The 16189-nt window shown below is 41.0% G+C and overlaps 1 protein-coding gene across 4 annotated transcripts, besides 1 other annotated feature; it reads left to right on the plus strand.

Annotated features, from left to right (window-relative positions):
- PSTK (phosphoseryl-tRNA kinase) lies at positions 6115 to 16104 on the plus strand. 4 transcript variants are annotated; one of them, XR_001747018.2, is made up of 7 exons: positions 6115 to 6409; positions 8447 to 8738; positions 8986 to 9184; positions 12014 to 12089; positions 12583 to 12676; positions 14636 to 14811; positions 15888 to 16104. XR_001747018.2 is itself a non-coding variant. In NM_153336.3 (7 exons), the coding sequence occupies exons 1-6, from the start codon at positions 6194 to 6196 to the stop codon at positions 13215 to 13217; spliced, it is 1047 nt and encodes a 348-aa protein (NP_699167.2). In that variant the 5' UTR covers positions 6115 to 6193; the 3' UTR covers position 13218; positions 15888 to 16104. The 4 variants fall into 4 exon arrangements, 3 of the variants coding, with proteins under 3 accessions (NP_699167.2, NP_001350460.1, XP_016871130.1); NM_153336.3 differs by lacking the exon at positions 14636 to 14811 and adding an exon at positions 13048 to 13218; NM_001363531.2 differs by lacking the exon at positions 14636 to 14811.
- Positions 6127 to 6446: an enhancer, noted in NCBI's record as "active region_4143". NCBI's record gives its function as "activates an Ori minimal core promoter by ATAC-STARR-seq in GM12878 lymphoblastoid cells {active_cell/tissue: GM12878}" and the evidence as "EXISTENCE:reporter gene assay evidence [ECO:0000049][PMID:35858748]".

A 16189-nucleotide genomic window follows, 5' to 3' on the forward strand; every position in this document is an offset into this window, starting at 1 on the left:
CCATGCTTCCCGTACAGCCTGCAGAACTGTGAGCCAATTAAACCTCTTTTCTTTATAAATTACCCATTCTCTGGTATTTCTTTGTAGCAATGAAAGAATGGCCTAACAACGCCCGACTCAGATACCTCTCACTAGGCCACATCTCCAACATTGGGGATCAAATTTCAACATGAGATTTGGAGAGAACAAATATCCAAACAATAATGGGGATGACCATTTTTACATGATAAAGAAGAATTTTTCCCATATAACTCTTCTCATCCTAAACTACACAGAACACCCAGCCTTGACCCCAGTGCATGCAGGGACAAGTGAGTAGACTACAGAAGGCAGCCACGCTGAATATGCAGAAGGATGATTTCTGGGGCATCCCAAGCTAGAGTGAAAGGAGCTTGAAATGCAGCCAAGAGTAGCTCCCCTTCCAGAAGGGGGAAGTGGGCAACCCTGGGGCTAAGAGAAGGAGGGAGTATGCAAAATGGGACCTAAGTTCACATCCCCAATTGCTCTGGGCCCCATTGTTGGTCCCACATCCACCCACCTAGACCCTGTATCAATCTCCAGTAGTAATGTGATGATGTCATGTTGCTAATTATTTTTGTAGAGGTGGGGTCTCGCTTTGTTGCCCAAGCTGTTCTAGAGCTCCTGGCCTGAAGTGATCCTCACACCTCGGCCTCCCAAAGTGCTAGGATTACAGGCATGAGCCACCATGCCTGGCTACACCCTGCTGATTTAAGAGAATCATATATCCAGTAAATATGTAATCACACTATTGTCCTTTTCTGAGCCTCAGGTGAGATTGAGGTCTGTAAAGGAAAGCTTTACAAATTTAAGAGCAAACTATAATTAAGGCTATATGTCAATGTCACATGCTTATATTTGAACCTATTATTGGGAAGCATGTCTTTTTAGATAGTAGACACCTAACTTTGAAGTTACAATAGTTCATTTTGGAATTCTGAAATACAAAGCATTATGTTTTTACAAAAAACTTTAAAAATGGTTTTTCCAAAATAGATTATTGGAAAGTTAATTGAGGTTAGATTGATAACCTGGCAAATTCTACAAAACATTTGAGGAAATTATACCAATTCTCTACAATCTCTTCCAGATGGTAGAAGCAAAAGGAATACTTTCTAACTTGTTTTATGAGTCCAACATGACCCAGATGTCAAAAACAAAGACATTACAAGAAAAGAACACTACAGACCAATACTTCTCTTGGACCTAGAACTATCTGTTTTGTATCTATATAGATGCCAAAATCCTTAACAAAATATTAGCAAATTGAATTTTAAAATGTATAAAAATTATACACAACAACCAAGTGGGTTTTATTCCAAGCATGCAAAGCTGGTTCAATGTTTGAAAACCAGTTAATGTAATCCATCATATCAAGACATTAATTAAATCACATAATCATATCAATCGATGCAAAAAAAGCATTTGACAAAATTCCACAGACATTCATGATACAAACCCTCAGCAAAGTAGGAATAGAGGAGTGCTTCCTCAACCTGATAACTATCTACAAAACACCTATAGCTTACATTATACTTAATGGTGACCAACTAGAGACTTTTCCATTAAGATCAGTAACAAGGCAAGAATGTCCTCTCTCACCACTTTTTCCACATTATACTGGAAGTCCTAGCTAATATAATAAGACACAGAAAATAAAAGGTATACATGTTGGGAAGGAAGAAATAAGACTGTCTGCAGATGACATGATTGTCTATGTAGAAATCCAAAAGAATCCATAACAAAAAATCTGGAACTAATACATGATTATTGCAAAGTTTTAGGATACAAGGTCAAGACATAAAAATCAACCACTTTCTTAATTCCAGCAATGAACAAGTGAAATTTCAAATTAGAAACACAATACCATTACATGAACACCCCCCAAAATGAAATACTTAAATTTAAAGCTTCTTTTTATTGGGTATAAAATTTTTAAAATATGCATGAAATCTACATGATGATAACTACAAAACTCTGTTGAAAGAAATAAACTAAAATATTTCGTGTTCATGAATAGAAATAATATTGTCAAGATGTCATTTCTTCCCAACTTGATCTATAGATTCAACACAGTCTCAACCCCAGCAAGCTGTTTTGTGGATATCAACAAAGTGATTCTAAAGTTTATGTGGCAAGGCAAAGGATCTAGGCTAGCCAGCACAATATTAAAGAAGGAGCAAAACTAGAAGACTGACAGTAGCCAACTGCAAGACTTACTATAAAGCTATAATAATAAAGATAGTGTCATATTGGCAAAAGAATAGACAAATAGATCAATGAACAGAATAGAGAGCCCACATAAATACAGTCAACTGATCTTTGACAAAGGAGCAAAGGCAATGCTATGGACAAAAAAATAGTCTTTTCAACAACTGGTGCTGAAACTAGATATCTACACACAGACTTTACCTCCTTCACAAGAATTAACTCAAAATGGATCATAGAACAAAATGTAAATCCCAAAACTATAAGACTAAAGGATAACAGAGAATCTAGAAGACTGGGCTTGGTGACGATATTTTTGATAAAACACCAAAGGTATGATGCATGAAAGAAGTCATTGGTAAACTGGGCTTCATTAAAATTAAAAACTTCTCTCCAAAAGACACTGTGACAAGAATGAAAAGATAAACCACAGACTGGGAGAAAATGTTTGCCAAAGGGATCTTGTAAAAAGGACTGTTGTCCAATATATACAAACAACGCTTAAAACTGAACAACAAGAAAACAACCCAATTTAAATATGGGCAAAAAGAAGCTAGGCATAATGGTGCATGCCTGTAACCCCAGCTACTCAGGTGGGGGACTGCTCAAGCCCAGGAGTTTGGGACCAGCATGGGCAATGTAGTGAGACCCCATCTCAAAAATGGTAAATAAAATAGGCAAAAAGATCTGAACAGGCACCTCACCAAAGAAGATGTACAGATGGCAAATAAGCATATGAAAAGATGTTTGGCTGTGCATAGTGGCTCACGCCTGTAATCCTAGCACTTTGGAAGGCTGAGGCATGAGGTTTGAGCCCAGGAGTTTGAGACCAGCCTGGGCAACATAGGGAGACCTCATCTCTACAAAAATGAAAATTAGCCAGGCATGGTGGTGCAGAGGTTTGTTTGAGCCCAGCAGTTTGAGACCAGCCTGGGCAACATAGGGAGACCTCATCTCTACAAAAATAAAAATAAAAATTAGCCAGGCATGGTGGTGCATGCCTGTAGTCCCAGCTGCTCACGAGGCTGAAGCAGCAGGATTGCTTTGAGCCTGGGAGGTTGAGGCTGTAGTGAACCATGATCTGCCTCCAGCCTGAGTGACAGAGCAAGATTCTGTCTCACAAAAAAAAAAAAAAAAGAAAAAAGATGTTTAACATCATATGTCAGTAAGGAAATGCAAACTAAAAGAACAGTGAGATACCACTACACACTTACTAGAATGACGAAAATCCAAAACATTGACAACACCAAATATGAGGGAGGATGTGGAGCAGTAAGAAGTCTCATTCATTGCTGACTGGAATGCAAAATGGTACAGCCACTTTGGAAGACAGTTTGGCAGTTTCTTACAAAACTAAACACTCTTACTGTATGATATAGCAGTCACGCTTCTTGGTATGATATTTACCCAAATGAGTTGAAAATTTACGTCCACACAAAAACCTGCACATGGATGTTTATAGCAGCTTTATTCATAATTGCCAAATCTTGGAAGCAACCAAGATGTCCTTCAGTAGGTGAGTGGAAAACTAAACTGTGGTACCTCTAGACATTGGAATATTATTCATGGCTAAAAAGAAATGCACTGTCAAGCCATAAAAAGACATAGAGGAGCCTTAAATGCATATTACTAAGTAAAAGAAGCAAATTAAAATTGTGTGATTACAATTATATAATTGTATGTTATTCCGGACAAGGCAAAACTACAGAGACACACACACAAAAATCAATGGTGTCAGGGGTTAGAGGAGAGGGAGGATAAACAGATGGAGCACAGAGGATGTTTGTGCTCTGTGCTCTGAGGATGTTTGGGCTGTGAAACTATTCTGTACTGATGGATATGTGTCATTATACATAGCCAAAACCTACAGAATGTACACCAAGAGTAAACCCCAATACCAATAGTAAACTATTTTACACCAATAGTAAACTATGGCCTTTAGGTGATAATGATGTGTCAATGTAGGTTCATTGATTATTGATTGTAACAAATGTATCACTCTGGTGAAGGATGTTGATAGTGGGGGAGGTTATGAATGAGGAGGGGAAGGAGTATATGAGAACTCTACTTTCTGCTCAGTTTAGCTGTGAACCTAAAACTGCTTTAAAAAATAAAGCCTATTTAAAAAAAATACATAACCAAAACAAAAATAACTATGATAAAAAGAAAAAAAAAACCGGTTGCCTGCAGGGGTTAAATGGGTGTGGATGTGGAGGATGGGAGATAAAAGACAGTGGAGCCAGGCTCAATGGCACATGCCTATAGTCCCAGCTACTCAGGAGGCTGAGATAGGAGGATTGCTTGAGCCTAGAAATTCGAGGTTACAATGAGCTATGGTTCCACTCCAGCTTGGGTGACAAAGCAAAACCCTGTCTCTTAAAAAAGTGGGGGAGGGGCAAATTAAGGAGAGGGACCTTATACTGGACCAATAATGATAAAATGTCATGAAATAAAGAGTTTAACTCATTGCTCTTCACTTTCAGTCCAAAGGAAAATGAGATTATTTGTAAGTGCTTCATACAAATTATATCAGCTTTAGCAGGTTACTCGTCATATTTTGACACAGTATACACTGATTTTGTCCTTACGTCTTCACATTTTGAACATACCCTTTACAGGTAAGAAGGAATTATCCCCTAAAATATAAGGATAAAAGAATCTGGAATCTAGGCCCGACGCGGTGGCTCACGCCTGTAATACCAGCACTTTGGGAAGCCGAGGCGGGTGGATCATTTGCGGTCAGTTCAAGACCAGCCTGTCCAACATGAGGAAACCCCGTTCTTACTGAAAATACAAAAATTAATTGGGCAGTAGTGGTGTTCGCCTGTAATCCCAGCTACTCGGGAGGCTGAGGCAGGAGAATCCCTCGAGCCTGAGAGGCGGAGGTTGCGGTGAGCCGAGATCGGACCACTGCACTCCAGTCCGGGCGAGAGAGTGAGACGCTGTCTCAAAAAACAAAAAACTGTAATCTGAATTCAATTTTTCTACAACACACCCCCAGACAAAAAAAACTTGGCCAGCCGCGGTGGCTTGCGCCTGTAATCTTTGGGAGGCCGAGGCGGGCGGATCACAAGGTCAGGAAATCGAGACCATCCTGGCTAACATGGTGAAACCCCGTCTCCACTAAAAATACAAAAAGTTAGCTGGGCCTGGTGGCAAGCGCCTGTATTCCCAGCTACTCGGAGGCTGAGGCAGGAGAATGGCGTGAACCCAGGAGGCGGAGGTTGCAGAGGTTGCAGTGAGCCGAGATTGCGCCACTGCACTCCAGCCTGGGCGACAGAGCGAGACTCCGTCTTAAAAACAAACAAAAAACAAAAACTTGTTTTGTACCTCTCCATAGCTTAGTATTACTTTTTAACACAAACACCTATTGTTCTCTGTCTGCATGCACTGGAATTGAGGTCTGTGGATGTGCCTTTCCTGACAATATTTCTTCACGCTTGCTGCCCACTGGTGCTGTGAGGGCACAATAACGAATGTTTACTTTGCCCTTGCACTCTTCACATCTGGGAACCGCAAAGGAGCGCGGTGGTCGGACTGTCAGCCTCGCCTTCTATTCTTTGATTTCCAGTAACTTATTTTCGAAAGATTGCTGGAGGGAAAGGCTCAACGTCTCTTTTGGGATTTTCCTAAGCAGAAAGACCTCATCCTAACAAAACTGAGGCGCCAATCCTACTGGCTGGCAACTTTCGGCAGGGAGGGTGATTCTATTTGAAGATCAATCCTAACTCTGGGACCCCTTGGGAATGTCCAGGAGCTAGGAACGCAGCGCCGCGGTCTCTCCAGCCTCTGGTCCCTGGGAGCAAGCAGGGCACCGGTGGAGCAGGTGCCTCTGGGGCCGCACGGAAACCCAGCTAGGCCAGTTCCTCCACTGCGCCGGTAGGCGGCGGAGACGCTGCGCGTGCGCGCAGGGCAGACGGTAGAGCGGAGACGACGCTCCCAGACTCCTCCGGTCTCCCCGGGCAGCATGAAGACCGCCGAGAACATCAGAGGAACCGGCAGCGACGGGCCGCGGAAACGAGGCCTCTGCGTCCTCTGTGGCCTCCCCGCGGCAGGAAAATCGACTTTCGCGCGCGCCCTCGCCCACCGGCTGCAGCAGGAGCAGGGTTGGGCCATCGGTGTTGTCGCGTATGATGACGTCATGCCCGACGCGTTTCTCGCCGGGGCAAGAGCGCGACCGGCGGTCAGCACGGAGGGGCGGGGCCTGGGCCGCGGGGCGGGGCGGGGCGGGGCGGGGCGGGGCGGGGACACTCGCGTCCACGCGGTCCTGGGTGATTTGCCATGAGCGCCCATTGCTTGGTGTGGGAGGTGAAGTTCGAGAAAAGTGGAGCTGGGTTAACATAGTTACTGCAGAGGGTGAATGCGTTGGCTGTAGAAAGTGGTTACAAAGCCAACTGTTAGAACGATGCATTTTAGATGCTTATCTGTATATTTGATGCATGTATATGTTGTATATTCTATACAGTTGAGTCTTCAGACAGGGTCAGGTTCTCAAGTCAGCGTGCAAGGTGGAAAGCCCCTATAGTCAAATGCACTGTCGAAAATCCCTTAGGAAGTTTCTCCTTAGGAGAGGGAAAGAAGTTCTAAAACTTGAACGTCTAGCTACGGGTGGATTCAGGTTTTGTAATTTGAGGAATCCTCTTTAAGAAAAGGAATAAAAACTATAAGTAACAAAATTTCTGGGGTCCCTCAGAACGATAGAAAGAGGCTGTACAAATGCATTATCAGACCTATGAAGCTTAATCTTTGTTCATCTCAAAGTAAATCTGCCTCTGCCAGCTTTGGGAAGGATGGCTGTTTCTTAGTTGACCACCAGAGGAAGTAATGGGTTTGTATTTACGGAAAAACTTGTATGTTCCAAATACATCTCTTTAAGCCCTCCTCATCTCACACTCAGCACAGTGAGATACATCCTCTTGGAGAAGCATGTGGAAACTGAGACCACTGGGGGAAGAGTAGATTACATTCGTGTTTCTCATGCTCACTCTTGAGTAAATACTCTTTGAAATATTCTGAAATGTTAACATTATTATTTTTGTTGTTTAATGCCTAATGTAGATGAATTTACAGAAATCAAATGCAAATGTTATGTGACTCTACTTTCTAAGTATATATACAAAAATACAGTACATTTGGTGCATGGGCTCTCCAGCAAGGTGTATCTACTTTCTCATTCTTGGTTAATTGTGAAGTAAGTGCAGTGTCAGGATAGCGCAGGATTGACCTGGATGATAGTATTTTCAACACTTCGGAGAAAGCTGAAAGTTGTCGATAGGGATTGTTGTATTTGCTGGCTTTCCCTTCACTTGTATTATGTTGTTTTTTCCACGCTTTTCCTATGGACAAAGACTGTGGGACTCATCTGCTCACTTAGGAAGTGATATGTGTTTCCAATTTAGTGGGTTTAGCTGATGTGTTTGTTGTATGTAGTGTAATCTCAGTGGTGGTAAGGCATGGGCAGGCAAGTGAGAGTTCTCACTCCCCTGTCCTCGTGTTTTCCCTCCAGCTTAGATTTCTTAACTATGTCAGGATTCTCCACAGCCCTTGACCAGCACAAGATTACTTGTATTCTCAAGCTGTTTATTCCCCTCAGTTTGTTTCCTCCATCTTTCCCCATCCCATATCAACTCATTTGTTAGCCTGAGGTCTTTTCTTCTTGACCCAGAGACTTTTCACCTGATCTTTTTGCTGTCTACTACCTTTCCCATTTCAGGGGAAAACCTGCATTATTATATCTTAGCCAGACTATTTTGACTCCACCTTTCTCTTGGATGATAAATAAGTTCTTTCATTTATTCACTTATTCAGTCAGTCATCCATTTAATATACATTTCTGGAGCACCGACCCTCTGCTGGAGGCTGAGTATGCAATGGACAGTGATCTAGCAGAGAGAGAAGTGTAAACAAATGCTTAAACTGTGTAAGCACTGCTAGAGTGGAGATATATGTATAGAATGGGGTTTCATGATGGGCAAGGGAGAGGCTGAGCTGCCTTCTGCATGGTTGAGTCTGAGAAAGCTTTACACAGCACTAGTAACATTAGTTTTCCAGGCAGAAGGAATGGTATATATGGAGTCATGTGAAACCAGGTGTGTTAGAGAACTACAGATGGTTCCGTATTGTGAGCTGAAATTTTCATATGGGGCAGGGTGGCAGTGAGGCCAGATGACTGACCACCCTAGTGGCCTAATATGAATTGCAATTCTTTGGTCTCTTGTAGCCATCCCAATGGAAATTGCTTCGACAGGAACTGTTGAAGTACCTGGAATACTTCTTGATGGCTGTCATTAATGGGTGTCAGATGTCTGTCCCACCCAACAGGACTGAAGCCATGTGGGAAGATTTTATAACCTGCTTAAAGGATCAAGATCTGATATTTTCTGCAGCATTTGAGGCCCAGTCTTGCTACCTCTTAACAAAAACTGCTGTTTCTAGACCTTTGTTTTTGGTTTTGGATGACAATTTTTATTATCAGAGTATGAGATATGAAGTCTACCAGCTGGCTCGGAAATGTAATTAAAACTTTTTTTTTCTTACACATGGAGATACTTATTCACGTATCAAAAACACTATTGTCTTCAATGAGAATTTAACTTGATTAGGAGGTTATGTAGATTTACTTAATTTTAAAAGCTAGATGTTCAGTATTGCAAACGGAGTTTTTCCTACTATAATTGTCATAATTTGTCTAATATATGTTTATTTCATATTTTGGAAAAAGAGTATACCAGTAATTCTATCATTTTAAACTGTTTTCAGATTCGTTGGGCTTTTGCCAGCTCTTTTTAGATTGTCCTCTTGAGACCTGTTTACAGAGGAATGGCCAGAGGCCACAGGCACTGCCTCCTGAGACCATCCACCTGATGGGAAGAAAGCTAGAAAAGCCCAACCCTGAGAAAAATGCTTGGGAACACAACAGCCTCACAATTCCGAGTCCAGCATGTGCTTCGGAGGCCAGGTATTCCACTCAATCATCCCTCCCTGGATGCTCCCCTGTGCCAGGTATCATGGTCAGTGCTTTGTCTATGTTGGTTTAGTTAGTCCTCACACAGGCATTGGAGAGACATTATTCCCCACTTTGTGTGGAAGCTAAAAGTGAAATGGGAAAATTTAGTTTGTCCAGAAAGATTTGAACCCAAGTTTATTTGCAAATGTCTGCTCATAACTGTTACGATTATACTGTCTTCCAGTAGTTGGAGCAGGGAATTCAGAGAACACATCTTTGATTCTCTTGCTAAAATAGATAGTCTAAATAGGTTGCCTGGTAGTTTTCTTATAGAAAGAGATCTGTGAAAGAGTGCAACAGGTACTGGGTCCTATTTGCCTTAGAGCTCACCATAGTTACACTGCTTTTGCATATGTGAGGCTTGTAGGCTATGCTGTCTAATGCATTTCATTCATTACGTATGTCTTGAGAGTTCTAGAGCAGCATATTTCTAGCAGAAACTTCGCTGGCGATGGAAATGTTCTATATTTGCACTAATATGGTAGCTGCTAGCCACATTTGACTATTGAGCCCTTAAAAGTAGCTAGTGTAACTGATGACCTGAATTTTTTTGTTTAACTTATTGATTTAAACTTAAGTAGCCTCATGTGGCCAGTGGCTATTTATTGGACAGCGCAGTTCCAGAGGTATATTGCCCACACTTCCTTAGTTCCTGCATATTGTCCACGAGGGATCGGTATCAGCTCACTGCAGGCTTGACCTCCTGGGCTCAAGCAGTTCTCCTGTCTCAGTCCCCTAAGTAACTGGAACTACAGGCCCACACTGCCAAGCCCAGCTAATTTTTTAATTTGTTGTAGTGACAGGGTCTCACTATGTTGCCCAGGCTGGTCTGAAACTCGTGGCCTCAAGCAATTCTTCCAACTTGACCTCCCAAATTGCTGGGATTACGAGCATGAGCTATCACCCCCGGCTAATATTTTCTTAAATTTTGGGTTACATTGGGAACAGTGTCTATAATTCCTTTTGAAATTCTTTTTAGGAATCTTATCTTAAGGTTATAGTTCCCTTAAAAAAATATTTGCTATGCTTTACCTCTTTTAAGACTGTAAACAAACTGGGTGCAGTGGCTCACACCTGTGATCCCAGCACTTGGGAGGCCAAGAAGGGAGGATCACTTGAACCCAAGAGTTTGAGGTTGCAGTTGAGCTATGATAATGCCACTGCACTCCAGCCTGGGTGACAGTGAAACCCTGTCTCTAAACAAACAGACTAAATAGAACAAAAGGGCATGGGTATGAAAATTAGCTAGTGATCACTGGCTGAATAGTCACTAAAACTCAAATTCTCTCCCAGTTCTGAACACTTTATATATATGGTCTCATTCAGTCCTCACAACCACCCTTTAAGGGTAGAAACTACTATCCCCATTTTATAGATGGGATAACTGAGGCCCAGATAAGTAAAGTAATATACCCAGGTAGGAAGTGGCAGAGCCAAGATCTGGACCCAGTGAGATCGCACTCACTCCAGAACCTGGGCTCTTTTCAGTGTGAGGAAGATCATCTTGAGGTTGAGCTTTAACTTGATGAGCTCACTCGCTTAAAACTTTTTAGTGCCACTCCCATAATCTGAGTAAAATTCAAACTCCTTACCCTAACTTAGGTGATCTAACCCAGATTAATTCTCCAACTTCATATTCTGCCACTCTCCTCCTGGCTTCTTTTCAGCCTTTCTCTTGCACGAACACAAGGAGCATGTTCTTGCCCTGGGGCCCTTGTACTTGCTGCCCCTCTGCCCTTCCCACATTCTTATACTTGACTGCCTTCACTGACCATCCTAACTAAAGCAAAGAACATTAGTTGGGCTACCCTGTCACTCTTATCATTGTCACTTTATTGTCTTTGCTCACTTATCTACTTACCACCATCTGAAATTATTTTTTGCTTTATTTAACTGTTTATCTGTCTCTATTACATTATCAGCCTTGGCAAACGCAAGGATCTTGCTACACCCCCAGCTCAGCATGTGGTTGTACAGTATTTTTCATATAAGACGTTCAATACATATTTGTTAAATCAATGAATGAATTCTACCTGAAACCTTCATGGACCTTTGCTCAGTGAGAAACTTTGCTCATCCATATCCAGTAAATAAGCGGGAGCCAGAAAGTAAAGACCAGGCATCTTTCCATAGAGAATAAAGTTGAGCTCTTGTGGCCCCCGGTTCAGCCTTAAGAGGGGAAAAGAGAATGACTTTTCAAAGCTTATTGACATGAGTCTTAGGAAATTGGTATTTTTTAATGAGGGGTCCTTAGCTTATCATTTGTTTTGAGCTACTGCATTTGGATTGTCTACATGGAAGCTAGCTTCTAAATCATTTAGTTTTTTTCCTTTTGTTAAGAATCTTGGGTTATAGCAGTTTCATTCCTCTAGAATTCAGTTTAATATTCATAAATACAAGTTCCTTAAAAGTCAGATGTTGGCTGGGCATGGTGGCTCACGCCTGTAATCCCAGCACTTTGGGAGGCTGAGGCAGGTGGATCACGAGGTCAGGAGATCTAGACCATCCTGGCTAACACGGTGAAACCCCATCTCTACTAAAAAATACAAAAAATTAGCTGGGCGTGGTGGTGGGCGCCTGTAGTCCCAGCTACTCGGGAGGCTGAGGCAGGAGAATGGCGCAAATCCGGGAAGCAGAGCTTGCAGTGAGCAGAGATCACGCCGCTGCACTCCAGCCTGGGTGACAGAGCAAGACTCCAGGACTCCATCTCAAAAAAAAAAAAAAAAAAAGTCAGATGTTGGATATAAGGATCTATTGTATTTTATCCCATTTTCTCTGTAGCCTGGAAGTGACTGATTTATTGCTCACTGCTTTGGAAAATCCAGTAAAATATGCTGAGGACAATATGGAACAAAAGGTAAACTTCCAGTGTAAATTTAATGTAAATGAGAAGGAACAACTTTTTGTAGGAAGATCTTTTGAGCCGAATATAAAATGTGAGTGAAACGGGAGATGCGTTGTCATTGGCTTGGCCTCTCACCAGCACTCACTGCTGACAGCTCATGCCGGCTGGGCAAAGCCGATTGTTAAACTTTCAAAAGTGTTGGAGCCTGTTGATGGTTTGTTGGTAGGAATGTTTACATCACAGAAATTGGCAAACACTACAGATAGGTCTGGGGTTTTTTTCTGGGAGAGTCAATTATTAGACATTCACCAGCATATCACCGCCTAGCTGGAACCCAGTTTACCACTGGATCTGATTTGGTTGGACTCTCTTGTAGGGAAGAATAACAAACAGAAAAGCCGCTTAAACTTTTCTTTTAGTCCTTTCAAATACATGTGACCTATTCTTTAGCCATTTATTTTATAAAACTATGTGACTTCTAATAACAATGTCTGTATTAACATAGGACACAGACAGAATTATTTGTTCAACTAACATTCTTCATAAAACTGATCAGACACTCCGAAGGATTGTATCTCAGACAATGAAGGAAGCAAAAGGTATGATGTGTCAGTTATGTGTTGAGTTGGTATGATTGTGACTTTCTACTGCTACTGTTATTCCCGACACTCAGAGTTTATTAGTTTTCAGTCATAAAAGTTCACATCATGTTTTCAATTTAATTATGCAATTTGACTAAATGTAACTAAAAATTCTACCTCTGGAACTGAGTGTTCATCCATCCAACAAATTTTTACTGAGTTGCCTTACTGTACTAGGCCTTACTCTAGATGCTGGGGAATCGGCAGGGAGCAGAACATTCTAATGAGGAGACAGACAAAACATGATTACATGAGTATATGCCCATGCTCTGAAGAAAATTTAAGTAAGGTAAGGCAGTGTAGTGATGGGAGGATTTATTTTTAAAAAGGTAATCAGGAAGCCTTCTCAGAGATGACATTTAAGCAAAGATGGGTAAGAGCGAACCATGCAGCTATCTGGAGGATCATTCTAGGCAATGAACACATCAAGTGCAGAAGCGCAAAGGTTGGCTGGTTGCAGTGTTGCAGAATCGAGAAGAGGCCATTGAGCACGGGGTGAGGTAAGAAGGGGGGAAAGGTAGTCAGGGGCCAGGTGTAAGATCAGCATGGAATTTGAGTAAAGTCAATGTATTATAAATCTGAATTTATATAATAGATGAAATATGTGGTAACTAGAGTTTTACACAGTAATTCCATTAGGTTTTGAATACTGTATTGCTATATTTAAAATTGTACCTTTAAAAACCAGCAATGAACATTTTTTGAGCACCTTTCTATACGTTAAGCGCTTTACAAATACTGTTTCTAATCTTCACAGTCCTATAAGGTAGGTGTAATTTTACAAATGGGGAAATGGAAGTTCATAGAGGAACAAGTAACTTGTCCAAGACTGAACAGCTACTAAATATTTGGGTAACCTGGGGTCCAGAATTACATCCAGTTCCAGTCTGTGCTTCCCATTCTGCTCCCCTGCATCACCATCATTTATTACCTTTACAAAAGCTTAGAACACTGGAAAAGGAAACAATATACCAGCCATACTGTTTTTGAATTTGTATAAAACTATGATCTACCAGTTGATTTTATATTGTAACCCAGGGTATAACCCAGTACACGAACTCATGTGTGGAAACAAGTTTCACAAAACACCTTCACATGTTTAATGAACTCTGTGTTCTACTTGATTTCATTTTAGAAAAATACCGATTGCCACTTATTAATGGGTAACATTAATAAGTTTGAGAAACAGAGGACCGGAACAGAAATGGCATCATAAATAAAATAAGACAAAAAATAGTTCCAGGAGTTCTCACTCAACCATTTGCCTTTCTTCTTTTCTGTCTATAAAATGAAGCAAGGTCCTGGGGGATTGTGGGGGGTAGGGTTATGCCCAAATCACTCTTATATCCCACCTATTTAAAAACATACAGATAGAGAGAGAGCCATATATATATACATATATTATATATATTTTTTGGGGTCAGGGGAGGTAGTAGTAGTTTTTAATTTGTGCTTAATTAAAAATTCAGTTCCTCTACCATCAGGAAAGTGAAAAGACAACCCATAGATGGGAAAAAGTATTTGCAGACATATATCTCATAAGGGACTTGTATCCAAAATATATAAAGAACTCTTACCACTCAATAATAAACACAACCCAATTTTTAAAAGGGCAAAGGATCTGAGTAGACATGCTCAACATGATTAGTCATTGGGGAAATACAAATCAAAACCATAAGATAGCACTTCACACCCACTAGGAGGTCTAGAATTAAAACGTCCAAGTGTTGAGGATGTGTAGAAATGTTAGGAATGTCAGATGGTACAGCTGCTTTGGAAAACAGCTAGCAGTCCCTCAAACATACCGTTAGCACATGACCCAACAATTCCATTCTCAGGTGTATACCCAAGAGAGATGAAAACATGTTCACATAAAAACTTGTACATGTATGTTAATGGCAGCATTATTCCTAATAGCCAAAATATGAAAATAACCCACATGTCCGTCAGCTGACCAACAAAATTTGGTGTATCCATACAACAAAATATTATTCAGCCATAAAAAGGAATGAAATGCTGATATGTGCTATACAATGTGGAATAACCTTGAAAACATGATGCAAAGTGCAAGAAGTCAGTCCCAAAGACCAAGTGTATGTATACTTCCAGTCATACGAAATGTCCTGAACAGGGAAATCTTGAGATAGACAGTGGATGTGTGGTTGCTTAGAGATGGGGGGCGGGGGGTGGGCGGGGTGGGCAGAAGGGAAGGTGGTAAGGAGGATGATAGCTAAAGGATATGGGTTTTTGTTTTGCTTTGTTTTTGAGATGGAGTCTTGCTCTGTTGCCCAGGCTGGAGTACAATGGCACGATCTTGGCTCACTGCAACCTCCACCTCCCGGGTTCAAGTGATTCTCCTGCCTCAGCCTCCCGAGTAGCTGGGATTACAGGGATGTGCCACCATGCCCCGCTAATTTTTGTATTTTTAGTAGAGGAGGGGTTTCACCATGTTGGCCAGTCTGGTCTCGAACGCCCGACCTCAGGTGATCCGCCCACCTCGGCCACCCACAGTGCTGGGATTACAGGCTTGAGCCACCAGGATATGGGTTTTTGAGATGATGAAAATGTTCTAAAATTAACTGGTGATGGTTGCACATATCTGTGAGTATATAAAAAAAACACTGTATCATACAGATTAAATGGGTAAACTGTATGTGAATTATGTCCTAATAAAGCTAACAGAAAAATAAAGTTCAGCTTCTCAGTAACACTGCCCACGTGTGGCTATTGGCTGCTGTATTGAATAAAGCAGATATAGAACAGGTCCATCACTGCAGAAAGTTATGTTGGACAACTACTGTTCTAGATATTATTTATCAGGTTCAAAACTAAATTGTCATCTATTTCTGCTTTTTTGCCTTTCTGCTTAATTCAGTAAGGTAGTAAGTCAGCTGTCTTGAGTTTTCTTGGCAACAACAACAAAAAGTCCCTTTCAGGTTAGTCTTTTCTGCTCACACGTTTCCTAACAAGTTATTTAAATTCTTTGACGTGTTTCAGATGATTTTTGAGTATCACATTGAGACCTTTTTTCTATATATTACACTAACTCAATTGTGATTGTTTATAGAATCTAACTGGTTTGTTTAATCAAATTAATTTCCTAATGTCATTAGACACCCCGGATTACTTTAATTTACACCAGTAATTTGAGAATATCTTTTTATTTTAGATGAACAAGTGCTTCCTCACAACTTGAAGCTTCTAGCAGAAGAACTTAACAAGCTCAAAGCAGAGTTTTTGGAAGACCTAAAACAAGGAAACAAAAAATATCTGTGCTTTCAGCAAACCATTGACATACCAGATGTCATTTCTTTTTTTCATTATGAGAAAGATAATATTGTACAGAAGTATTTTTCAAAGCAGCATTAAAATTTCTGAACTGCCAATCAAATGTCTCATTTTGGTAAGCTTTTACAAATTTGTTAAAACAACGGTGTTGTATTACGATGTTTTCTAGGCTAGTAATGCCAG

Source organism: Homo sapiens, chromosome 10, assembly GCF_000001405.40.
Source record: "Homo sapiens chromosome 10, GRCh38.p14 Primary Assembly".
Lineage (NCBI taxonomy): Eukaryota > Metazoa > Chordata > Mammalia > Primates > Hominidae > Homo > Homo sapiens.

Coding starts and splice junctions, on each gene's coding strand:
- PSTK (NM_001363531.2), top strand. CDS start 6,194: ATGAAGACCGCCGAGAACATCAGAGGAACCGGCAGCGACGGGCCGCGG. Junction 9,185..12,013: donor GCATGTGCTTCGGAGGCCAG/GTATTCCACTCA, acceptor TTTTCTCTGTAG/CCTGGAAGTGACTGATTTAT. Junction 12,677..15,887: donor GACAATGAAGGAAGCAAAAG/GTATGATGTGTC, acceptor TTTTTATTTTAG/ATGAACAAGTGCTTCCTCAC.